The sequence below is a fragment of the Homo sapiens genome, chromosome 12, assembly GCF_000001405.40.
Source record: "Homo sapiens chromosome 12, GRCh38.p14 Primary Assembly".
In the NCBI taxonomy this organism is placed as follows: Eukaryota; Metazoa; Chordata; class Mammalia; order Primates; family Hominidae; genus Homo; species Homo sapiens.
This window is the reverse complement of record NC_000012.12, coordinates 129319529-129345017: the sequence shown is the minus strand read 5'-3', so window position 1 is coordinate 129345017 and position 25489 is coordinate 129319529. Positions and strand designations below refer to the sequence as shown.

At 41.9% G+C, this 25489-nt stretch overlaps 1 protein-coding gene across 1 annotated transcript in view, besides 3 other annotated features; it reads left to right on the top strand.

The window, feature by feature from the left end:
- The window catches only part of TMEM132D (transmembrane protein 132D), an 832300-nt gene that overhangs the window by 559008 nt on the left and 247803 nt on the right, over positions 1–25489 (top strand). The window contains exon 4 of the mRNA NM_133448.3: positions 7201–7384. Coding sequence (NP_597705.2) covers positions 7201–7384 — 184 coding nt within the window. The remainder of the gene's footprint in view (positions 1–7200; positions 7385–25489) is intronic.
- Positions 6858–7790: an enhancer, noted in NCBI's record as "H3K4me1 hESC enhancer chr12:129821773-129822705 (GRCh37/hg19 assembly coordinates)". NCBI's record gives its function as "activates a minimal SCP1, AML or CMV promoter by ChIP-STARR-seq in primed H9 embryonic stem cells {active_cell/tissue: H9 hESC(primed)}" and the evidence as "EXISTENCE:reporter gene assay evidence [ECO:0000049][PMID:30033119]".
- Positions 7791–8723: an enhancer, noted in NCBI's record as "H3K4me1 hESC enhancer chr12:129820840-129821772 (GRCh37/hg19 assembly coordinates)". NCBI's record gives its function as "activates a minimal SCP1, AML or CMV promoter by ChIP-STARR-seq in primed H9 embryonic stem cells {active_cell/tissue: H9 hESC(primed)}" and the evidence as "EXISTENCE:reporter gene assay evidence [ECO:0000049][PMID:30033119]".
- Positions 11156–11342: a silencer, noted in NCBI's record as "fragment chr12:129818221-129818407 (GRCh37/hg19 assembly coordinates)". NCBI's record gives its function as "represses an EF-1alpha promoter that drives an FKBP-Casp9 reporter gene in an ReSE screen in K562 erythroleukemia cells {active_cell/tissue: K562}" and the evidence as "EXISTENCE:reporter gene assay evidence [ECO:0000049][PMID:32094911]".

Below are 25489 nucleotides of genomic sequence, written 5' to 3'. Positions count from 1 at the left end.
AAAAGCAAAGGGAAGAGTCCCCTGATTTCCATCCTTGTGCTTCTCAATCACACCTAGTCGGCATAGTGGCAACAAAACGTAACCACATCTATCTAATCTTACTGCTCATAGCTGTTAAATACCAAATCTCAATCAGCAATTTTAGAGACGGAGCCATCAATGCTTTTTGCTCCCAATGTTTTGCAAGCAGACGGACGGAAATCGGGAGGCACGTAGGAAAAGAGTAAGTTAAAATCCCTAAGACCCGTTAAATAAAGTCTCCTGAAAATGACAGTGAAACAGAGACAGCAACCAAGAAATTGATTCATGCAGCAAGAGAAAAAGGCAGGTTAATATGAAGAGCAGAGCCTGCGGTGCCAAACCTGCTCTTAGCCAAGAGGGACTTTACTGAGAGGAGCCTCCAACCCCCTAAATCTTAGAAGCAACTAAGTCAGCTCCTAACCCAAAGTCAGGCCTCTAAGCCAAGGTTGGTCAAGCATCCTTGCCTTTTATTAAGAGGTTCCTCTAACCCATTCTGTCTTAGGAGAGACTGACTTCCCTAAGTTGGGCCTCTAACCCAATCCCATTCTTTACCCAGGTATATGCACCCCACTTACCCAAAGTTAGCCAGTTGGTGCATGCAGATGATTTTCCTTTGGGGCGGGGGCCTCTTCAGTATCATCCATTTGGGGTTTGCCAGAAGTAGGTTACAGGACCCCAACATTTACCCAAAGGTAGTCCTTGGACCAGGCTTTCTGCACTGTAGTCCCATCTGTGGTCACCAGAAATATGTTACAGGAAAGGGGTTCTGATCCAGACCCCAAGAGAGGTTTCTTGGATCTCACGCAAGAAAGAATTCAGGGCGAGTCCACAGTGCAAAGCAAAAGCAAGTTTATTAACAAAGTAAAGTGGCGAAAGGACAGCTACTCCACAGACAGAGTAGGACATTCCCGAAAGTAAGAGGAGGAAGGCGTCCACCCTAGGAACAATGCTTGTATATATGGAGAAATGTGTTCTGCTACAAGGGTTTGTGACAAAGGATTAGTTTTCTTAATTACTATGTTTTGCAAGAATCAATATTATTATCTTTCTTCATTTTTTTGAGACAGGGTCTCGCTCTGTCACCCAGGTTGGAGTGCAGTGGCACGATCATGATCTCAGTTCACTGCAACCTCTGCCTCCTGTGTTCAAGCAATTCTCCTGCCTCAGCCTCCCCTGGGATTACAGGCATACGCCACCATGCCCGGCTCATTTGTTTTTTTTTTTTGTTTTTTTTTGTTTTTTTTGTTTTAAGAGATGAGGCTTCACCATGTTGGCCAGGCTGGTCTTGAACTCCTGACCTCAAGTGATCCATCCACCTCAGCCTCCCAAAGTGCTGGGATTACAGGCATGAGCCACCACGCCCGGCAACATTATTATCGGTAAAACAAAATTAGGGATGTCTTTTTTTTAATTTTATTATTATTATACTTTAAGTTTTAGGGTACATGTGCACAACGTGCAGGTTTGTTACATATGTATACATGTGACATGTTGGTGTGCTGCACCTATTAACTCATCATTTACATTAGGTATATCTCCTAATGCTATCCCTCCCCCATCCCCCCACCCCACAACAGTCCCCAGTGTGTGATGTTCCTCTTCCTCTGTCCATGTGTTCTCATTGTTCAGTTCCCACCTATGAGTGAGAACATGCGGTGGTTGTTTTTCTGTCCTTGTGATAGTTTGCTGAGAATGATGGTTTCCAGCTTTATCCATGTCCCTACAAAGGACATGAACTCATCATTTTTTATGGCTGCATAGTATTCCATGCTGTATATGTGCCACATTTTCTTAATCCAGTCTATCATTGTTGGACATTTCTGTTGGTTCCAAGTCTTTGCTATTGTGAATAGTGCCGCAATAAACATACATGTGCATGTGTCTTTATAGCAGCATGATTTACAATCCTTTGGGTATATACCCAGTAATGGGATGGCTGGGTCAAATGGTGTTTCTAGTTCTAGATCCCTAAGGAGTCACCACACTGACTTCCACAATGGTTGAACTAGTTTACCGTCCCACCAACAGTGTAAAAGTGTTCCTATTTCTCCACATCCTCTCCAGCACCTCTTGTTTCCTGACTTTCTAATGATCGCCATTCTAACTGGTGTGAGATGGTATCTCATTGTGGTTTTGATTTGCATTTCTCTGATGGCCAGTGATGATGAGCATTTTTTCATGTGTTTTTTGGCTACATAAATGTCTTGTTTTGAGAAGTGTCTGTTCATATCCTTCGCCCACTTTTTGATGGGGTTGTTTGTTTTTTTCTTGTAAGTTTGTTTGAGTTCTTTGTAGATTCTGGATATTAGCCCTTTGTCAGATGAGTAGGTTGCGAAAATTTTCTCCCATTCTGTAGGTTGCCTGTTCACTCTGATGGTAGTTTCTTTTACTGTGCAGAAGCTCTTGAGTTTAATTAGATCCCATTTGTCAATTTTGGCTTCTGTTGCCATTGCTTTTGGTGTTTTAGACATGAAGTCCTTGCCCATGCCTATGTCCTGAATGGTATTGCCTAGGTTTTCTTCTAGGGTTTTTATGGTTTTAGGTCTAACATGTAAGTCTTTAATCCATCTTGAATTAATTTTTGTATACAGTGTAAGGAAGGGATCCAGTTTCAGCTTTCTACATATGGCTAGCCAGTTTTCCCAGCACCATTTATTAAATAGGGAATCCTTTCCCCATTGCTTGTTTTTATCAGGTTCTCAAAGATCAGATAGTTGTAGATATGCGGCATTATTTCTGAGGGCTCTGTTCTGTTCCATTGGTCTATATCTCTGTTTTGGTACCAGTACCATGCTGTTTTGGTTACCATAGCCTTGTAGTATAGTTTGAAGTCAGGTAGCGTGATGCCTCCAGCTTTGTTCTTTTGGCTTAGGATTGACTTGGCGATGCTGGCTCTTTTTTGGTTCCATATGAACTTTAAAGTAGTTATTTCCAATTCTATGAAGAAAGTCATTGGTAGCTTGATAGGGATGGCATTGAATCTGTAAATGACCTTGGGCAGTATGGCCATTTTCACGATATTGATTCTTCCTACCCATGAGCATGGAATGTTCTTCCATTTGTTTGTATCCTCTTTTATTTCATTGAGCAGTGGTTTATAGTTCTCCTTGAAGAGGTCCTTCACATCCCTTGTAAGTTGGATTCCTAGGTATTTTATTCTCTTTGAAGCAATTGTGAATGGGAGTTCACTCATGATTTGGCTCTCTGTTTGTCTGTTATTGGTGTATAAGAATGCTTGTGATTTTTGTACATTGATTTTGTATCCTGCCCATCGTCTCAGCCCAAAATCTCCTCAAGCTGATAAGCAACTTCAGTAATGTCTTTTTTCTCCAGCTATTGGGATATCTGGACACTCCCAAGTCTGGGTCTGTTTAGTAAACATTATTAATTTGTTCCCTTAACTGTAAACATCTAGAGGCTAGGAATGCCTAACTTTCTGGGAATGCTGCCCAGCAAGGGCCAGCCTCATTTTCCAGCCCTCATTCAGGATGGAGTCGCTCTGGTTTGAACACCTTTGACCCTGGCTCCACTCAGGAACAATCAGAAATCTGTAAGGATGATGCCTGGACATTGCTTTATTTGTAAAGTTCCTCCAGGCAATTTGAATGCATGGGAGGTGGAAAAATCACTGCTTTAACCAGATATGTTTTATAAACTTCTCTTTAACCAACTGTATTTATCTCCTACAATACATCAGATTCCCTTCTGATGAATATCAGGAATTACACTCTATTGTAAGCACAAAATGCAACAAGATAAATATGACCACCATTTTCAGGACATGTACCATCTGTCAGACACACAAACTGCAAAGGCACAGTCCTTGTCTTTAGAGTGAAACATGGAGAAGTGATAAATATTGCCTACTACGCAAGAGTTTGGAAAGCTGTTAAGTGCTAAATATTTACAAAGGGGCATTAAAATTCAAATTCCCACTGTCACACTAAGATACATGTGATGAGATATTCCAACGAGATCACCATGTGCAGAATTTATAAAGGAAATTGTCAGGAACTCGGTCCATAATCGTACTGTAGATGAACTATTGGGGAACTCATGCAAGCTAAGGAATCTTTCCAGAAAATCACGCGCATACAACGTTTTCCCCACAAGCTCAAGGTACAACCTTCCTGAAGGTTGGTATAGTCCTGGATTGAGAGTTCCCAACTTAGTCTTGCTATTGTGAATAGTGCCGCAATAAACATACGTGTGCATGTGTCTTTATAGCAGCATGTTTTATAATCCTTTGGGTATATACCCAGTAATGGAACCAACCCAAATGTCCAACAATGATAGACTGGATTAAGAAAATGTGGCACATATACACCATGGAATACTATGCAGACATAAAAAATGATGAGTTCATGTCCTTTGTAGGGACATGGATGAAGCTGGAAACCAGCATTCTCAGTGAACTATTGCAAGGACAAAAAACCAAACACCGCATGTTCTCACTCATAGGTGGGAATTGAACAATGAGAACACATGGACACAGGAAGGGGAACATCACACACCGGGGCCTATTGTGGGGTGGGGGGAAGGGGGAAGGATAGCATTAGGAGATATACCTAATGTAAATGACGAGTTAATAGGTGCAGCACACAAACATGGCACATGTATACATATGTAACAAATCTGTACATTGTGCACATGTACCCTAGAACTTAAAGTATAATAAAAAAAAAGAAAAAGAATTCCCAACATAGAATATTTTCATCACCACTTCATAGAGAGGGCAGTTGGCTGAAAAAAGACCTTGTTGCTTTTACATCTTGGCTGGGAAAGGGATCTAAAGAAAAAGGGAAAATCTAAATGTATAGAACAATCACGTAAGGTTACAGGAAGAGTAAAATTAGATGAAGTAAAGGGAGCACTTATTACCTTCTATTAATTGAAGGGTATTATAGGTGGCTCTTCTAGGATGGCAAGAACTTACATATATGAAGAGATGTATAAGGTTTTCCTGATAAAACAAACTCTAAAAACAGAAGTATGGGGCTGTGGGGTGGGAGGCATCCAGTATTCTACTGCGGGCAAGGATTGTTGGTTTTTATTTGAGGTCAAGGAATCTGGAAGGAAATAGGGGTAGAATGTGATGTGGACATATGGGCAGTTATTGTGTACAATGAGCTACATTTATGCCGGTGTTCACACAGCTCAAACGCAAGTAATGCTAATTCTGTTATATAAATTCCTTTCTTTGTGATTAAAAACAGAAGGCGAGGCCCACAGACTCGGAGACGGAGATTATCCCATTTCATCAATGGGAAAGTCATACCAAAATTCTTGTCAAGTTCGAATACAAAAACGAAGGTGCATTCTAGCATCTTAATTCCAAGTTCTCTCTAGCTGTGACTAGAAATGCCAGTCAGGGGCTTCAAAGAGACAGTGGCATTCTTTTCTTATGTAAAGAAAGGTATGGGAGAAAAAAGCCCACCGTGGCCTAGGGGATTTTTATCACAGCAGCTGCTTCTCAAAGAATTAAACCACTTTCTTTCAAAAGCCAAGAGGGAGTGCGTTTTGTAGGATTCAAAAACCAGCTGTCGTCTTTTCCCCTTCATTACTCACAGCCCATTGCAGCTACCCCGTTCCATGGAAGAGATTTGGGGTTCTTTCTTTTGGCAGTTCTTCTCATCTCATTTCTCCGGCCCCCTCCTTCCCCTCCTCTTTCTTTTCCTCCTCCCCTTCCTCCTCTTCTATCTTTCTTTTTCTTTTCCCTTTTTTTTTTTTGAGACATATTTTCATTTCATCACCCAGGCTGGAATGCACTGGTGTGATCCCAGCTCACTGCAACCTCTGCCTCCCAGGTTCAATTCTCATGCCTCAGCCTCCCAACTAGCTGGGATTATAGGCACATGCCACCACACCCAGCTAATTTTTGTATTATTAGTAGAGATAGAGTTTTGCCCTGTTGGCCAAGCTGGTCTCAAACTCCTGACTTCAAGTGATCGCTTTTATCTTTCCTTTCTTTCTACTTCTCTCTCTCCTTCCATTTTTCCCTCCCTCCCTCCTTTCTCTCTCTCTGTCTGTCTCTCTCGCCCTCCTTCTCTGTTCATTAGAATCTCCCCTGATCTTCTAGTTTTCCATCTCATCCCTCCTATTGAGAACAAGGCTCCCTGGAAGCCCCACCGTTTATCTCTGAGCTTCTTACCGGTAAACTTGGGTGAGATTGACGGTGTGATAAAAATGTCAATAGCTTTGTCACATATAAAAGAACAAACCTTATTCTCCTACATGTCAGAGTTCAGTGATCATTTCTCAAAGGTGTAAAATTCAAATCTTTTAGAAATAGATCTGACACGTAGACGTTGTTTGGCCACTGAGGCTTTAAAAAGTACCTCTCTCAGCGGATTCCTCTGTTCATTCTCAGCTACACCCTGGTCACTTCCTTTTCAGGCAGAGGCAGGCACCAAATCTACATTTTTCTACCTGTCACATAGAAGAGCAGACATCATACCAAAAATCACTATGATGAGGCAGGCAGCTAATTAATTACTTAAATAGCTGTAAAAATAATCCAGAAAGTCCTAGGTGGATTTGTTTCTAGATGTATGCTTATAGGAAAATTGAGGGTCTAGAAACCAGTCTTTGTCGCAATGACTCCCATCTCCACGTAATATCTGGTGACTTCTCCATGCTCATCACAGCGACCCCCTTGACCCTGGTTTGTTGTGCACACGTTGCCTGTTTCTGTGCAATTCTGTCTTATCACTGCCAATAACACAACTGTGTCACCCTCAGACATCCTTAAAATTCTGTGCAACCAACTCAATCTGGCTGTGGCTTTGGAAAATCCAATGGAAGTTGCCTAGAAATTTGTGAGAGTGAGGAAAAGTGTTCTCCTAAATGGAGAATGGGAAAGGAAGTGTTTAAGAAATGCAATCACTATTTCCCATAATTATCCACAAATACCTGCTCTGGGGCAGCTGAGCAGCCCACAAACAGAAGGACTTTGGAACCTGGAGTGACAGTATCTAAGCCCAGGCTAATGCTGCAGAGCATATTAAAGCTCCTTTGTTCGTTTTGGAATGGCATCTCTGAATGCTCTTTGCAGAGATGTGTGCGCTTGGTTCCATGTGGAGGTACATAGAGAAATGGCCAAGGGCCGCCCACTCTCTGCCAAGCGTGCCATACCTCATCAGTCCCTGAAAGCTGTTCTCCTCTGTGTCTTCTCTCCAGTGCGGATGGCGCCTCCTACGAGGTCATGCAGATCGATGTGGAGGTGGAAGAGCCTGGTGACCTGCCAGCCACACAGCTGGTCACGTGGCAGGTCGAGTACCCCGGAGAGATCACGTCTGACTTGGGAGTGTCCAAGATCTATGTGAGCCCAAAGGACTTGATTGGAGTTGTGCCGCTGGCTATGGTAAGCAAGCCCCGCCCTGGGCTGTTAGAACTGAACTCGGGGGAGGGGAAGGCGCCGGCGCCGCACTGAGTCCCAGGCTGGGTGGGGAAAAGGGGAGGAGCCAAGAATCAGGACAGTGAGAAACGAAACCACAAAGTTGACTGCCAATAGCCAATCGTTATGTGTGTGTGTGTGTGTGTGTGTGTGTGTGTGCGTGTGTGTATCTATATCTATATCTATACAAATATAAACCAATTTTCTTAACGTATTATTTAGAAAATAAACTCCAGGTATTAGATTTGGGTCTGCTATTGTGTGAAAATTGTTGACGACTCGATAGATGTGTTTGTAGCATATGATGTAGACACCTGTGGATCTCGAACACACACAGCTCTGGAGTCCATGTAGATCAAGCATAGGAGTGAAATGTGCTGAGACATTTGGCAAACACCCGCCTGGTCCCCCAGACCACCAATTAGAAAATATTGACCAGCGTTCTTCTGTCATGCTGAAAGAACACCAGAAATCAGGTCTTCAGTCCAAGGCAACTGGACAGCTGCCCGGTGACACTAAACTGGTTACTGTGTTGTTCATTAGGAAATGTAAAGGTGTTTGGGTTACTGTAGTTGACAAGGGCTCTTACTGTTTTATTTGAGAGGCGCTGGGCCTCCCTGGTTATTATTTTGTGTGAGACGGCCGTGCCCTTTGCTTTGGACTCTCAGTGGTTCTGTCACTGGGAATGGCAACGCCGTTTGTCTTGAGCAAGTAGTGGTTTGAATTTGCTCCTTTCCACACCTCTGGTCTGAGGAGACTGAGCAGCTCTCCCTGAGCACCTCCTGCTGCTGCCCTCGGCCCAGGCCCGGCTGCATGCTGTTTCCCACACTCCACACTCGGCGTTTCTCCTGCCTCTGGTGGCCCTGATGCTGCTGTTGCCTCTTCTAAACCCCATCGTTCCTCATGGCCTATACGAGTCCTCAGTCCCACAAGAGCCCTCTCTCTGTCCTTCAACAGCCTCTGAAACATTTCCCATCCTACAGCACCTGTTCTTGCTATGCTACATGTAATGTTCTTTTTTTTTTCTTTTTGACGGAGTGCCAGTCTGTTGCCCAGGCTGGAGTGCGGTGGTGCGATCTTGGCTCACTGCAACCTTTGCCGTCCGGGGTTGATTCTCCTGTCTCAGCCTCCCCAGTAGCTGGGATTACAGGTGCCCACCACCATGCCTGGCTAATTTTTGCATTTTTAGTAGAGACAGGGTTTCACCATCTTGGCCAGGCTTGTCTTGAACTCTTGACCTCGTGATCCACCCACCTTAGCCTCCCAAAGTACTGGGATTACAGATGTGAGCCACCGTGCCCAGCCCTATGTAATGTTCTAAGAATGTATAATGGTAGAGCTAGAAACAAAAATCTCAGTGGAGACCCCCTTGACATGTGTACCAATTAGGAATTGCATTTGGCTGAGAGCAACAGAGCTCCCTGCCCAGGCACCCTAACTTACCCTCTGGCTAATTATGAGTTAAGTACAGATTTCTTCTTTCATGTAAAGAAGTTCCTAAGGTTAGTGGTCTAGGGCTGGTTTGGTGTTCCATGACATCTGAGACCCAGGCCCCATCTTTCCTTCTACTTCAGCAGTCAGGTGCATGGATTCCATCCTCATGATTACCTCATGGTCCAACATAGCTGCTGGGATGCCAGCCATCACATCTATATTCTGCAGACCAGCAAAACTTAAAAAGGCCAAAGTTCAAACAGGGCCAGTCTCTTTTCCTTTTCAAAAGAACTTTACAAGAATCCAACATACAGTTTCTGGTTGCATCCAATTCACCAAAACTTAGTTATATAGCCACATCTAATTGTAAGGAAGGCTGAGAAACCTACTTTTTTAGCATGAAAGATTGCTCAAATTCTGTTACAAGGAAATAAAAGAAAAGGTATTCTAAGGCAATGAACAGCATCTTCGACAATTCTCCTTTATTTCCACTTGAGGAAACTGAGGCTCAAAGAGGTCCCTCATCTTAGTACCTGTTTTCCATTTTTCATTGGTCATTACGAGTCTCCCAGGAAAAAGAATAACATAACAAATTATGGTCTCCACTAGCTATTCATGCAACCATACTTAATTTCATTGTGCCTCAATTTCCTCATCTGTAGAGGGAGTTACAGGGATAATACCTACTTATAAAGTTGTAAGGATAAAACAGTAATTAAAGTGTACTTAGACTAGGTGCGGTGGCTCATGCCTGTAATCCCAGCATTTTGGGAGGCCGAGGTGGGCAGATCACTTGAGGCCAGGAGTTCAAGACCAGCTTGACCAACATGGCAAAACCCCATCTCTACTAAAAAAAAAACTACAAAACTTAGCCAGGTGTGATGGCACATGCCGATAATCTTAGCTACTTGGGAGGCTGAGGCATGAGAATAGTTTGAACTTGGGAGGCGGAGCTTGCAGTGAGCCAAGAACGTACCACAGCACTCCAGCCTGTGTGACAGGGTGAGACCCTGCCTCAAAAAAAAAAAAAAAAAAAAAAGTACTTATTAGAGTACCCAGCCTATAGCAAACACACAGTAAGTGTTATCTATATTATGATTACTTAACTACTGAATTTAAAATATATGCAATACTCTGGCAATAATGTTATAAATTTTTTCAGGTAAGGGACTTATCCACAGCTCCCATATTTTACAACATAAGAAGAGTGGTAGGCAGTATGTAGGCACCCACTGATTCTTGAGCTGAATTAAATGTATTGGATTAAAACTTGGTGGGGCTGGGTGCAGTGGCTCATGCCTGTAATCCCAGCACTTTGGGAGGCCAAGAAAGGTGGATCACCTGAGGTCAGGAGTTCAAGACCAGCCTGGCCAACATGGTGAAACCTTGTCTCTACTAAAACTACAAAAATTAGCCGGCTCTGGTGACTCACACCTGTAGTCCCAGCTACTCAGGAGGCTGAGGCAGGAGAATGGCTTGAACCCAGGAGGCGGAGGTGACAGAGCGAGCCTGGGTGATAGAGCAATACTTCATCTCAAAAACAAAACAAAACAAAACAAAACGTGGTGGGCTGAGTTGTTAGCAATGGGCTCTGAGTGGCTTCCTTTCGAACTAAGTGGAGAGCCAGACTGCTGTCTGATCTACCTTTTGTATTGGTAGTGGTTCTGAGTCTTCCCAGAGCAAGGTGCCTTATTTTAACCTTGACTTGGTTGGTAAAAGAGTGTTGTCATGCAGGGGATGTGGTTGCCGTTATTAAATTACTTTGCTTTTGTTCATTCTATCTTTATTGAGAAATATGTGAAAGAAATTTTAGATCCATCACTCTTCCTCCAAATTAATGACAACCATACCCACATTGCAGCTATTTTCTAAATTTTAACATTCCGTGTTGATGGAGTTGCAGGAAAATGGGAATCATTACACAAAGCAGGTGGAATTTTGTATTTGTTAAGCTTTCTGGAAGGCAGTTTGGCAAACATTATTTAAAAGGCAGTTAAGGCAAACATTATTTAAAAATTTTTTTCATTATTTATTTTCTGTTTTTGTGAGACAGAGTTTCACTCTGTCCCCCAGGCTGGAGTGCAGTGGCGTGATCTCAGCTCATTGCAACCTCTGCCCCCCAGGTTCAAGCGATTCTCCTGCCTCAGCCTCTCAAGTAGCTGGGACTACAGGCACCTGCCAACAGGCCCAGCTAATTTTTGTGTTTTTAGTAGAGATGGGGTTTCACCATGTTAGCCAGGCTGGTCTTGAACTCCTGACCTAAGATGATCCACCTGCCTCGGCTTCCCAAAGTGCTGGAATTACAGGCATGAGCCACCATACCTGGCCTATAATTTTTTATATTTTATAAGTGGGAAAGGGGAGAGTGTGCTCCTCTCCATCCCGAGCACCCCACCTCTGCTCCCACCCCATCAGTCTAGGAGCTCTGCCAAGTGCTGAGATCTAGCTGCAAGGGAGGCTGGAGAGAGTGAGCTATTCCAGGAGCCAGATGCCCAGCTGCAAGCATGCAACAGTGGGAGAAGGGAGTGCACATGGAGAAATGTCTGGTGCTGTCCTGGACTGTCCTGGCTGAGATAATAGCAGTGGAGCAGCAGCGTCCGCCTTAGAAGACAAGACTTCCCAATGCATTGGATATAGGTGTGAAGAAAACACAGGAATAAAAGATGCATCCTAGCTTTAGTCCCAAACAAAAAGTTCCCCGTATATCTCCATGACACTACCACACAAGATTAAAATTTAAGAGCTTTTTTGTTATAAAATAACCTATGGTTTATATTTTCGTACAAAAATCTTTGCACACATTTTTAATGAACTCCTTCAGGTCAACTTTTAGAAATAAATTCAAATCAAAGGATATGCAATATTGTATTCCTTTTTCATAATGTTTGCCAAACTGCCTTCCAGAAAGCTTAACCAGTTTAAAATTCCACTTGCTATGCATAGTGATACCCATTTTCCTGCAGCTTCCTCCAACATGAAATATTAAAATTTAGCAAAACTTATATCTCAATGTTGTTTTAATTTGCCCTTCTTAGATGACATGTTTATTTCCTATTAAGCATTTGTTCTTTGCCCATTTTCTCTTCTCCTTGGGAATTCAATTTATTCTTAGACCTTTGTTATAAATCTTTTTTTATTATGGTAGAAGTCATATAACATTAAAGCTACCATCTTAACCATTGTAAGTGTATAGTTTAGTAATGTTAAGTATTTTCTCATTGTTGGGCAATGGCTCTCTGGAACTTTTTCATCTTGCAAACTGAAACTATAGCTACTAAACACAAATTCCTCCTCCCTCTTCCCTCCTCCCCAGACACCGGTAACCACATTTCTATTTCTATATATTAGCGATCCTAACTTTTCCATTGACATATTGCAGGTACTCTTACTAGTTTACCATTTGCTAACTTTGCTGGTCAGACTTTTTTGGCTTGCACAGACTTCTGTCTGTTTGTGTAATTTGTATGTAGTCAAATCCATTATCTTTTGCATAATGGAAATCCCTCATCTCCCTCTAATTATATCCAAGACAAAAAAGGCATAAAATCTCAAATATTAAAATATTCACACACAGCACAACTAAGTAAGTAGATCAACAGTCTTCAAAAATAATGCTGGAAGGGAGCACAGTTGTGGCTGTTGTCAAGGATCTGAGGTCCACTTGAGCTGAAGCTGGTGGCCTCTCCATTCTTTGTGTGCTGTGTAATTTCATCTCCAGGAAAGCTCTGGGATGAGATGCCGCCAGGTGCTTGCATCGAAAGCTACTTTTTAGAAACAATTTTTTTTTAATATTTTGTATTTTTTTCTTGAAGTCTTCTTCAATAGTTTGCCTTTTTTCCCCCTAATGTCTAGGGTCTTGAAACTTTTTAGTTTCTTAATCCAGTTGTAGGTTTTTATGAGATTTATTACATTGTTTTTTCAGTTCAGGAAATCATGCCTTACTATGTTGTAAGTAAATATGGTTTTGTTTTTAGGGAGGCAAATTCTGAGGGAAAAGGTCATTAAAGGTGCATTAGCATTCATTTATCAAGTGCTTATCTGTAACCACGTTAGTGTCTGAATCTGGAGACTGGTGTTTACTCTTCTCCAGATATTAGCCCAGCTAATTTTTATATTTTAGTAGAGATGGGGTTTTGCCAGGTTGCCCAGGCTAGTCTCGAACTCCTGGCCTCAAGCAATCCACCCGCCTCTGCCTCCCAAAATGCTGGGATTAGGGGCATGAGCCATTGCACCCGGCCTGGTGTTTGCATGTCTTGGAAAAGTTGGAGTCCCCTTTGTAGTGACTCAGCTTTCCAAGGAGAAAGGTCTCCGTTTCTCAAAGTTCTTCAACGTCCTTCTCTCCTAACTGCCTCCTGAGTTTTGGCTAAAACAAGTGTTTCAAGTTTACACCAGTGTTCAGGGGTCATGGCACTGATAGGTATATACTTTATCAATTTTTGAATGCCTTATCAGCTAGTCCTTTAAAACATAGTTACAAGTCCTCTTCATTTTAAAATAAAACAAACTCTTTTCTTCCTCTTGGGTAGTGGCTGTTTGGATATTATACTTGTGGTTACCGTTGTAAGTGCAGGAAGTAGAGGTGAATGACTCTGCTCTCCTGTGGGATTTTAAGAATGTGCCCTCCCAGGCGGGTCTCTTGACCAGCTTCTCATTTTGCTTTGGGTCTCAGCTATGACCACTAAGTTTTAGTTATTAGAATGGATCTGAAACTTGAGATAAAACTTAATCAGGAGACATGGTCAGGACAGACAATGTCTGTATTATCCTTGAAAAAAATCAAAGGAGAACTCCAGCCCTACAGGGACCTGGTGCTGATGGTGTTACGTGGCGTTCACAATGGCATAAGGATACATACAGACGCATCTGCCAAACCCAGCCCTGAAGATCCTGGGGAAGACCGCAGAGCTCTTAAACAAAAGTGAAGAATCAAATGTGCCATTGCTCTTTAGGAAGTGCAATTCAATATCACATTCTGAGCTCTTTCTCAAACGTGATTCTGATGGAAAGGGGAAAAGCATCTCAGAATTCTCTCGTTAGAGCCCAGCTCCCATGCCACATCCACCACAGGGTCTTCCTTGATCCTCGTGCTCAGACAGGATCCATGTTGGCTCCTCTACTCTGTGCACCCATGTTTTCCTTGCACGCAATGAGGGCAGCGGGCAAGTCGGAGGATTCTGACACTGTTGAGTTATTCTTGCTGGCTGAGATCATGTGTTTGGAGCCATCTTAAGTAGGAGCCATACCCAAGAAGCTTGGGAGGACATAGGCTCAGTATGTCCCTTTGATTTGCACTCTAAGTCCTTCCTCGTCTCATTTTATTCTTTGATCCTTGGTGTATTTGTCTATTTTCTGTTGCTTACAACAGAATGCCTGACACTGGGCGATTTGTAAGGAAAATTATGTATTAAAGTTATGGAGGCTGAGAAGTCCAAGAGCAAGAGGCCACAGGTGGTGAAGACCTTCTTGCTGGTGGGGAACTCTCTGCAGAGTCCCGAGGTAGAGCAGGGTGTCGCATGGAGCGGGGCAGAGTATGCTAATGTGCTGTCTCAGGTCTCTCTGCCTCCTCTTACAATGCCACCAGTCTCACTCCCATGATAACCCATTCATCCATTCATCCATGAATGGGTTTATTCACATCCATGAATGGATTAATTCACATCCACGAATGGATTAATTCATTCACGAGTGTAGGGCCCTCACGGCCCAGTCACCTCTTAAAGGGCCACCTCTCAGTATTGCCACAGTGGGGATTAAGTGTCAACATGATTTGGGGAGGGAACATTCAAACCTTAGCACCCACCTAAACCTGTCCAATCTCCAAGCCTTTTTTCCAAACTGGAAGCTGCTAGACTCCAGTAAACCCCTCCTGACGTGTGATATTTCATACTCAGATGCTGTTTTCTCATTAGCATGAGTAGGGGACTCCATAACCCAGGTAACTACAGGTGAAGCTAAGCAGATTATTCTTGGCCTGACCCTCCACCTACTTGGTTGAATGCTGAGTTCCTTCCTTATATGATTCTTGGGATTACAATCATGTAATCGTTAAGGAATCTCTTCCCTCCTTATCTCAGCTGCATCTTCCTAAATCTTCTCGATTAAGGCATGTTCTTTAAATCTGTGATTCGGTAGAAAATTTCCATTTCTGTGATCTTAGCAGGCAAAACTTATATTTTTAGAACCATATAATTTTACTATTGTAAATCTTCTGATGAAATACATTTTAAATAAGCTTCACTGAATCAAGTACATTTCTCTTCTTAAATAAAATGAACTTCCTTTTCACCAACCATACTCTCCCCTCATCTTCAGAATCTTTGGGATGTATTCTCCTGGCACACGTATTCTCCTGGTTTGTGTTACATCCTTCCAGTACTGTGATTATGCTCAACCCCTGTCCTCCTGATATCCCCCAGCAGAAAGCACAGGACCAGCCCATAGTAGATGCTCAGTAAAGGCGTGTAAGAGAACAGCCTTATCCCTCATTGGAATACACATGGATTTGCGAGGAGATGGTAACCCAGGCCACCTATCTCCCTGCAGTTTTGAAGTCAGTACAAGTAATGTGTGGTGACAGTCACCCACTAAGATCTGGACTTAAGAAAAGGCTGTCAAATTAGGGAAAGGAGCTTCCTTTCCTGGCTTGAATAATATTTTTGTTGAATTTTTGGCATAAAAGCAGATTCTTGGCTCTTTTTATTTGACTGTTCATAGCATTCTTTTCTTGTGAGAGCCTGTTAATTAATATGCCAGATACCCTCTGTTGTTTTACTCAGACTTTTCGAAAATTCAGTCACACTGCACAGCACACTATGGCTTTCATTTTTATACTTTCTCAACCAAGTGCAAATTAAGACAGCCCTTGAAAAAATCTCTTCTCTAAAGCACCTTCTTGCATTGTGTGTTTGTTGAGTAGCCATTGCTCCCTAAACAGCATTCACAGTAATTACACCAAATACTTACTGTTCATTAGGTACCATGCATGGTTCTAGGAACTTCTACACATATATGGAGGAGATGAGGTCAGGGTAGGCAGGAGCTGGGTTCTAGAGACCCCATCAGCCATGGTACCTGCAGCAGCAGGATTTCTGATTCCAGACGTATGAAAGTATATTCTTTATATATATATATATTCTTTACATATATATAAATTGTTTATATATATATGTTCTTTACATATATATAAATTCTTTATATATATAAAGAATTTAATTTCCACAATGAACCAGTGAAGTTGATATGACTATTATCCCCATTTCACAGATGGATGAGGCCACACAGAGTTGGAAGAATGGCCCCAAGCTACCCAGCTAAGAAGCTGAGCTGAAATTAGATTCCAGATGGATGAGCTCCAGAGTCTAAGCTCATAACCAGTCCACTCCATCCCTCTCACACGGGAAACAGAGCGTAGGCTGTTGATCAGTTCCATATGCAAAAAGATCTTTGGAAAATGCAAATGCAAGGAGGTGTACTCATAAAAATATGAAATTGAGAAGTCTTATTGAAATAGAAAAAGTCATCTGAAAATGAATTATTTATTATGCACAAAGCCACTGCCTTTTCTTTTCAGCCCAATCTGTTGCCTCTGATGTTCCCTAATGAACCATCCTCTCCAGAGGTGATTTATAATGAGATGGCGGTGTCGGCTGAACTTCAATGCTTTTAAAGGCCCATAGTACAAAACAAATGCAGAAGAGTTATTGCTTTTGTTGCTCACCGTGTGGTTATTACAGCCCTAGCTGTTGTACAACCAGTTGCTATCAGTGAACAAATAAGCTATGATGTAACTCATTTTAGAGGTACCGCAGAAGCACAGTCCATTTGAAAAGCATTTCCTGAGCTCACTTTGTGCTGGGCACTTGCCTTTGTCTTGAGATTTAGCAGAGCTCATGCCACTCAGGGGAAGCAGCTGGGAAATGTGTCAAAAATAATTGAGCAAGATAATTTCAGAATTAATACATGCTTGGAAGAAAATAGAACAGGGTATCATGGAGGGAAAGACTCATTGAGATGTGCTCTTTCAGACTAGGTTGTTCCTGCAGAGATGACATTTGAGCTCAGACATTGCTCCAGGAAGGGCCCAGCCTGGGAAGTTGTGAAAGGAGCTGGCTTTCCAGACAGAAGGAAAAGTGGGTGCCGAAGCCCAAAGCAGGGGCCAGCCCTGAGTGCTTTCGAGTGGAAAAAGGTCCAGTGCAACTGGAGATAGTGAGTGGGGAAATGGTACAAGGAGATGAGTTCAGGGTAGGTGGGAGCTGGGTACTAGAGACCCCATCAGGCATGGCACATGCAGTGGGATTTCTGGTTCAAGATGTTTATATCTGATATGATCATGATTTATTTTTTAATATCACTCTGAATGCTATGAGGAGATCAGATTTGCAGGGAGAGATCCACAATGGAAATAGAAAGACCATTTGGGGGCTCCTTTGGTGGTCCAGGTAGAAAGGATGACAACTTGGAATAGGGTGATGATGGGGATGGTGAAGATAAGTGGAAGGTGTCAGGATGTATTTCCTAAGTATAGCACCAGCACTTGCTTATAGACTGGACAAGGAGTGTGTTTGAACAGCAGAGAGCAAATGTGAGTCTAGACTAGACACTGTCCAGTGAAACTTTCCGAGATGATATAAACGTTCTATAATCTAAGCCATCCAGTATGGTGGCCACAGCCACATGTGGGTTATTGGGTTCTAGAAATGTGGATTGTGTCACTGAGTAACTGAATTTCTAAAGTTAATATTAACATAAACAGCCATGTGTGCTAGTGGCTATCAGGTTAGACAGTATCTAAAAGTTTGGCTGGGGGGATCAGGGAAATTCACATCGTTTACTGAGATGATGGTGGTTGGTATACTCTCCACTTGCCATGCGGACCCACTGTCTGTTGTTCTCCACCCTGCTGTGTGCCCCTGGGGTCTTTCCTTTACGGATTTCATGGAACAGGCTGCCCCGCCCACTGGCTTCTGCTTGAATTCAGCCAATGTAAGGCACTGAGAGGAGAGAGGAGGTCAGATAGAAGTCCCTTCCCTAATAAACACAGTTTGTCGATGGCCGTGCGCTCCATCAGAAGCACCTACTATTGTCACTGAACTCTCTCGCTAGGCAACAGCAGCACTGCCGGTTATGATGTTTGGGTTGTCAACACGGCCACGTGTGTCAGTCTGCACTTAACAGCTGTCTCATTCACTCCCTTCTGCATAGAGGCGCAAGTATCTGAGTGCACCATTATGACTTACGGTGCTGTTCCTGCCCCCAAAATTTATGTATTTGAGTACCTATTATTTTATTATAAACTATTTTCTTTTATTTATAGTTTATAATTCAGTGAAAATATTATACCAATTTTTAAAATATGTGTATTGGTAGATTATGTTAATTATGGTTCTTATTTCAGGACAGTAAAGTAAGTGCTACTTTATTTGTTACATAAATATTTGTTATATAAAAGGAGCAATAGCTCAAATAGAGTTGAAAACAATGGAGCTGGCAAACACTTTCTGTGAAGGGACAGGTACTAAATATTTTCAGCCTCGCAAGCCACATGGTCTCTGTGCAACGATTCCACCCTGCATGTGGGGCCGGAAGGCAGCCGTAAACATGTAAGCAAATGGGTGTAACAGTTCCAATAAAAAGCTGAAACTTTGTGAGAGCTGAAACTTTAATTTCATATAATTTTCATGTGTCACAAAGCAGTGTACTTCTTTTGATTTTTTTTAACCACGTATATGAATGCATAAAGCATTAGTAGCTGCAGGACATACAAAAATGACAGCTTTTGCAGGCTGTGATTTGCCTATCCCAGGTCTAATGTCAGTGTAGCCTTTGCTTATCCAGGCCTGAGTTCCTCATTCTGGGGGTTGAAAATCCCCCCCTACAATCCCCAATTATGATATAAACTTTTATCTCCTTGAATGAAGGGTTCCCTAAAAATAAAAAAGTAGTGTTATCGTGAGAAAAGTGTATTTTCCACGGAGAACAGAGATGAATTCTGACTATATGTCACCCCATGGAGAGTGTCCACGGGATTAACCAAGGCAGGTAGCTTGAGCTGCATTTTTGCTTGATCATTCTGAAGGGATCTCAGGTTTGATAGGTCAGCCCCGAGCCTGTTAATCCCTGTCATGAGCGAAGCCTCCCGATGGTGTAGCCTTCCATCCTTTCAGAGTCCCGGGGGGCCTCCAGCACTCATGATGCCTAGTCTTCCTTCATCTTTCTTAATGTTCCTCACATTCTTTGGTGAACTTCATCGTCTTTCTCTTTGGTGGTGTCCACTGGACAGTGTCGAGCTTGTTTGCTCTGTAGCTGGCAATGACCTTTGAATTAAACTCATATAAGGGTTGAAGGCAGAACTGAAAGGAGAACTGGAAACTGATTTAAGGGCATGTTTGTGACTAATTCTCAGGTTCCTACTGTGACTAATTGCTCAGAGCCAATGATTCCTTGCCTCTTGAATTGCTTTCTAAGGACTGACTCACTCCATAGCATCTAAAATCTTGTCAGCAACTACCAGAAGGTGAAAACACCTTTCATGAAGGCTGGAGTGCATGAGGGGTTCATATTTCAGGTTTTATGCCAGCTGCCAAGCCCACAGTCCTCTCTTGTATCCGTGAGACTTGTTGTATTTCTCACAAGAAAGAACCACCTAAAGCCTAACTCAAAATTCCAACAAGCCTTTGGATCCACCTAATTTGCAGGTGCCATCCAGCTTTGCCAGGCTTATGTTTTAGGGTGAATTTGATTTTGGTATTCTGTAATGTGTGGTTCAGATCATGGCGCACAAAATCCAGCCTCAACAGTAAGGCCTTTTCTGACCACCCCGTCTAAAGAATATCTTGCCACATTCTGTATTCCCTTATCCTCACTTACCTTTTCTCCATGGTATTTCTTTGCACCTAACAAACCTTGTTTCTGTCCAGCGTCTGATCCCCAAGGGAATAGGGGTAGTTGTGTTCATGCTGTGTTTGTAGCACTTGGACTACTGTCCATCCCGCGGCAGAAGCTCAGTAACCATGCTGGTGCTGGGGAATGAATCAGATGGGGCCAATTCAGATACCTGGCCTGAAAGTCTGTAACTGAGCAGACTTTGGGTGAGGTAGATGACCTTTCTGCACCTCACTTTTGTCATCTGCAAACTGGGGATAATGATGGTGCCTCTACTTCACAGGGTGATGTAAATTGTAATGAGTGTGGAAGTCAAACACGTAGCACGGGGTCTGACACTCAGTGGCTTTACAGTAAATACATGTGCTGCTCTTAACAGCAATGACAAAGAAGACATGTTTGGGGATATTCACATGCAAAAAAATTAAAGTAGTTATCACTTTTTTTCTTTTTTTCTTGAGATGGAGTCTCGCTCTATTGCCCAGGCTGGAGTGCAGTGGCACGATCTCGGCTCACTGCAACCTCTGCCTCCCAGGTTCAAGCAATCCCTGCCTCAGCCTCCTGAGTATCTGGGATTACAGGTGCCCGCCACTATGTCTGGCTAATTTTTTGTATTTCTAGTAGGGATGGGGTTTCACCATCTTAGCCAGGCTGGTCTTGAATTCCTGACCTCGTGATCCACCCACCTCTGCCTCCCAAAGGGCTGGGATTACAGGTGTGAGCCACTGCCCCTGACCATCACTTTTTTCTTCTGCAAGTTTTTCAAGAAATTAAGGTAAAAGTAACGTTGAATGTCCTCTAGGGATGAAAAGACTAAATAAATCTATGATATTTTACATAGTAAGTAATAATAGCTGTGTTGTGTGTGTGGAGTCTAAACTCTTCTATCAGGCAGGCACCAAATGGCAAAATGCTGCATCTGTTAGGACCTTTTCAAATTCAAACCAAACTGGTTTATGCAGAAATCAGAATGTATTGGTCCACTGTTTAAGACTGGATTCGCTTGGTTATGCGAACAGTCAGACTGTGTCCAATTAGGCCATCAACCTACCCTAAACTGGTAACAATCACCAGATACCCAGGCCAGGCTAAGACAGACTTCCTAAACTCATCATAACCATGGGGACAGTATCACCATAACTCACTAAGATCAGCTTCCTGTAAATGCAGTCAGTAAAAGATGGATACTTGGATAAATTCAGGCTTCCAATAGAAAGGAGCAGAAGCTGGGAAACACATGAAGTTTGAAAAAAAGAAAATCCTCAGCCAAAAAATCACAGGACAGATATGGTTATATGGAATTTTGGGTGAAGGAGGTAACTGCTTTTCCATTTATTTACAAAACAAATCTTAAAACCTTCAAAAAAAAAAAATAAAACCTACTTCCTATAGAAAATGTGCTTGAAAAATCAAAATAATAGAGAGGCATGTGAAGAAAGGACCTACCCACTATTCCTCATTAATGAAACACACGTGGCTAGACAGGGAAGAGATGACTCCTGCCTTCAAGATGACATGGCTAGCACTGTGACCCTGAATGAAGCCAGCATACCTGTCCAGTGTAGCTGGTCATTGATACCTAAATCAAAGTGCTTGGTTGGTGATATGCAACATTGAGGATTAGGCTTCAGCTAAGATTTAAAGCTTTGAAATGTATTTTTTTTATAACCTGTGAACTTCCCATCAAAAAGGATTTGACAAACATGTAACAGTGTTTTTTGACAATCTTAAGCTCCAGGCCAGGCTACCTCTAATCACATTTTCCTAAAGAATCAGCACTTTTCTTCAGAATCAATTTAATTTTCTTCGGTTCACCAGCAGTGGTTTTTTGGTTTGTTAATTCATCTAATGCTAGATATTTTTTTTCTGTTTGTTTTTCTCTTTGCAGCATGTTCACAGAGTTTGGTGTTAATCCCCAAGGCTATAGCAGGTGGATTTATATCAATTTCTCTAATGAAACGATGGTGTGCATCAGAGAATATTATGCCTAGATCAGAAAAGATGGGAAAAGTTGCTATTTACGCTTTTTTTTTAAATTGTAAAAACACGAGTAAGGTAAATAGGAATGGGAAGAAGGGACATTTTAATGCCTTATGGGTAGCTGTATCATTAAACAACAGAAAGGCCTCCCTGCAGTAGAATTCTTTAAAATTACTACCTAAGGGATATGGTAGTTACAGTTCAAAGTGACTTTTTACAGAACTTATTTTTCCTAAACCTGTCAGCAACAAACTGGAAGGAAATACTTAAACTGCACTGTATGGTTCCACGCAGATCTATTTTCCTGACAATTTTTAAATGGAAATGGAGCCTATTCGTCCTCATGAATTTGCAGTTATATGCAAGTATAATAAGACAACATATGGAAAAGCAATGCAATGATTAAGGAAAGGATTTTGCAAAGCATGTTAACAGAGATCTGAGAGTCCTATCTATTAAATCTGTCATTCCCATTTTGAAAATGTGTGTGACTAGCCAGTTAATTATTTTACTTAATGTGAGAGTATTAAGTATTACACACCTCTTACTGTATGCAACAGATTCATCTTTGAAAAACAGAAAAGTTAAATTCTTTCCTAAGATATCAAACAGGTGGCAAATTTAGCCTTCTAGTGTAACAACCTTGGTGTAATGATGGAACCTAGAACCCATATCTTTCTAGAAAAAAATCCTTCCTGGATTTAAAGGAATTTGCCTTGTAGTAATAAAATTGGGAGATAGTAATAAACATGCAATTCAACCACCGAGAAACGATTCAGCTCTACAAAATAAACGGAATGTCTTCTTTATTAAGTGTCTGGACAGTTGTTGCATGTTGCTACCTGGTTCACACCATGCAGCCTCTTCACAAAACATTGTATCAATGCTCTACCATCAAGAGAAATGGCCATCATGGCATGGCCATTTTGCAGATGAGAAAATTAAGGCTGGTGGAAAGAAAATAAGTTACTGGAAGTCACATGAGTAACATGGATGTCTGGCTCCAAAACTGATGCTTTTACATCACCAGGATTTAAGCATGGAACTATATTAGTAAGAATATACAGGGCCAATGCAGCAAAAGGCATAGACATGTCTGTGTGTCCGACAAAAACCAGGAAGGAAACATTCGTCCCACGTATGGATAGATTGAAAAGGTCATTGTATCAATGCTCTACCATCAAGAGAAATGGCCATCGTGGCTATTTTGCAGATGAGAAAATTAAGGCTGGTGGAAAGAAAATAACTTACTGGAAGTCACATGACTAAAATGGATGTCTGACTCCAGCACTGATGCTTTTACACCACCAGGATTTAAGCATGGAACTATACTAGTAAGAATATACAGTGCCAATGCAGCAAAAGACATAGACATATCTGTGTGTCCGACAAAGAGCAGGAAGGAAACATTCGTCCCACGCATGGATGGACTGAAAAGGTCTGCCTCGGCCGGGTGCAGTGGCTCACGCCTGTAATCCCAGCACTTTGGGAGGCCGAGGCGGGTGGATCACGAGGTCAGGAGATCGAGACCACCCTGGCTAACACGGTGAAACCCCGTCTCTACTAAAAATACAAAAAAATTAGCTGGGCGTGGTGGCGGGCGCCTGTAGTCCCAGCTAGTCGGGGGAGGCTGAAGCAGGAGAATGGCGTGAACCTGGGAGGTGGAGCTTGCAGTGAGCTGAGATCGCGCCACTGCACTCCAGCCTGGGCGAAAGAGTGAGACTCCGTCTCAAAAAAAAAAAAGAAAAGATCTGCCTCATGCCATGGTCCTGAGGCGTGAGGACCACATTTATCTTCAAAATGGAGGATGGCAAAGCAGAGCTGGGGCATGACTAAGTGATGGACATGGAATATTAGAAGCTTTCTGAATAACGAGAGAAAATAAGTGAGGCTCTCAAGACGAAAAACCTATGTTTCTGTCACCCCTGATCACAGTAACTTTGGGAAGTTTCTATTTTGGTATCAGCCTCTTCTTATCTGTGAAATAATGTCACAATGACCCCATCTACTTAATAGAATTCTTGACTTTTTGTTAGGAAGATCAGTGATAATATGTTTTAAAACAGCCTATGAATTTTCCATCATATAATGGAATTCTCTCTATAACATCTCCACTGGGAAATTGTCTAGCTTTCATTTATCTTCTCTGGGGACAGGAAATAATGCATTACCTCTTAGGGAAACCCATGCTTTTCTATATAAATAGACATAATAGATAAATATGTGGGTAAAGTATGGTTATGAATATAGATGATAGAGAAAAAGATAATAAAGCTATAAATGTTATGTATACAGAGATAGATGACAGGTAGGTAGGTAGGTAGGTAGGTAGATAGATAGATTTGTATAAATAATGTCTAGTGGGTGGCTCGCTTTCATTTTATTATTCATTTAAGTCATTATTGGTACTCCTCTTTCGCATGTCCTTATATCCAACCCAATACCAAGTCCTGTTGATTTTACCTGAAAAAAGATGGATTTATGTATTTTTCAAATCTATCCCTTTCTTCCTGTATCCACTGCCCCTATTGTACTCCAAACTATTCTTTTTTCTAGTGTAAACCATTACAAATGTTTCAACTACTCTTAATCTCTCTCCACACTATTTTCTATACTGTAGATGGTAATCTTTTATAACTTCATTTTTGATGATGTCCTTATCTCATACTTAAAACATATCTATGACTTTCTTTGGCTCTTAGATGAGACACCAGAATACTTCACATGGCAAACAAAACCTAGCCTACGTGGTCTAACCCCTGCCTACATTTCCAGTCTCTTCTAGTATCATCTTTTTCTAGCCCTTCCTAGCTATGAGACAACTGGAAAGTATAGTTTTTCTTGCTTAAAAAGGGTTAGGAAATTCACAGTAGTCTCCTGCACAGTGTCCCATAGAATGTCTCTTTCTTGGGTTTAAATAACTCTTGGTTCTACTAATTATTATTATTCTGTAGCTACTCTGCACATTCTTCTCCAGATACTCTTGGGTTGATTAGTATCCTCAGAGATGATGGTTTATCTTCTTTTCAGCATTAAATTGTCTATCAGTCTCAGTTTTGGACCCAAACTTAATCTGTAGTCCCAGAACTGAAAATGGTGTTCCAGGTATGGATTGACAAAGAAGAGAGTTGAACTAGACTTTAGCAGATCATTTTCAGCACCCTATTTTGATTAACCCCAGCCAACTCTCTGTGACTCTTTTTGGAAAGGTGCACTGCATTATTGACTCCCAATTCCTAAGTTTCTCTCTGTCCTTTTCACAGCCTGGTCCTCAGCTACATATTCATGGTGATTGTTCTTGTACAGTGAGGATTTTGAGCCTGAGAGTTAAATTTGGCATTTCTCTCTAAAATATCATCTCACTGGACACAGTCCATCATCATTGTAGCCTGTTGAAATATTTTAGGATCTTGGATCTGTGATAGAGCATTTTTATTATAACTCTCAGTTCTGTATCATGTATAACTGAGATTCGCATGCCATCAATTTCCTCACTCAGCTTATTAACTGACATTTGGAACAGGAAAGGACAATACCTTCTGCGGAATACCAAGGGTTCTGGGACAATGTGCATGTTACATCTTCTTCCAACCTCATGAGCTTCTCTTTTTTAAATCTCCTTTCTTTGTTTCTTCTTATCTACACATCCCACAAACACTGGACTGCTCTGAACAGTCCAGATTTTCTGCCTGTTTCGAGTCCTTGGGTGATCTCATCCTTCCTTGTGGCTTTAAATATCATCTATTTATTGATAATTCAGAAATGTGATCACATTAC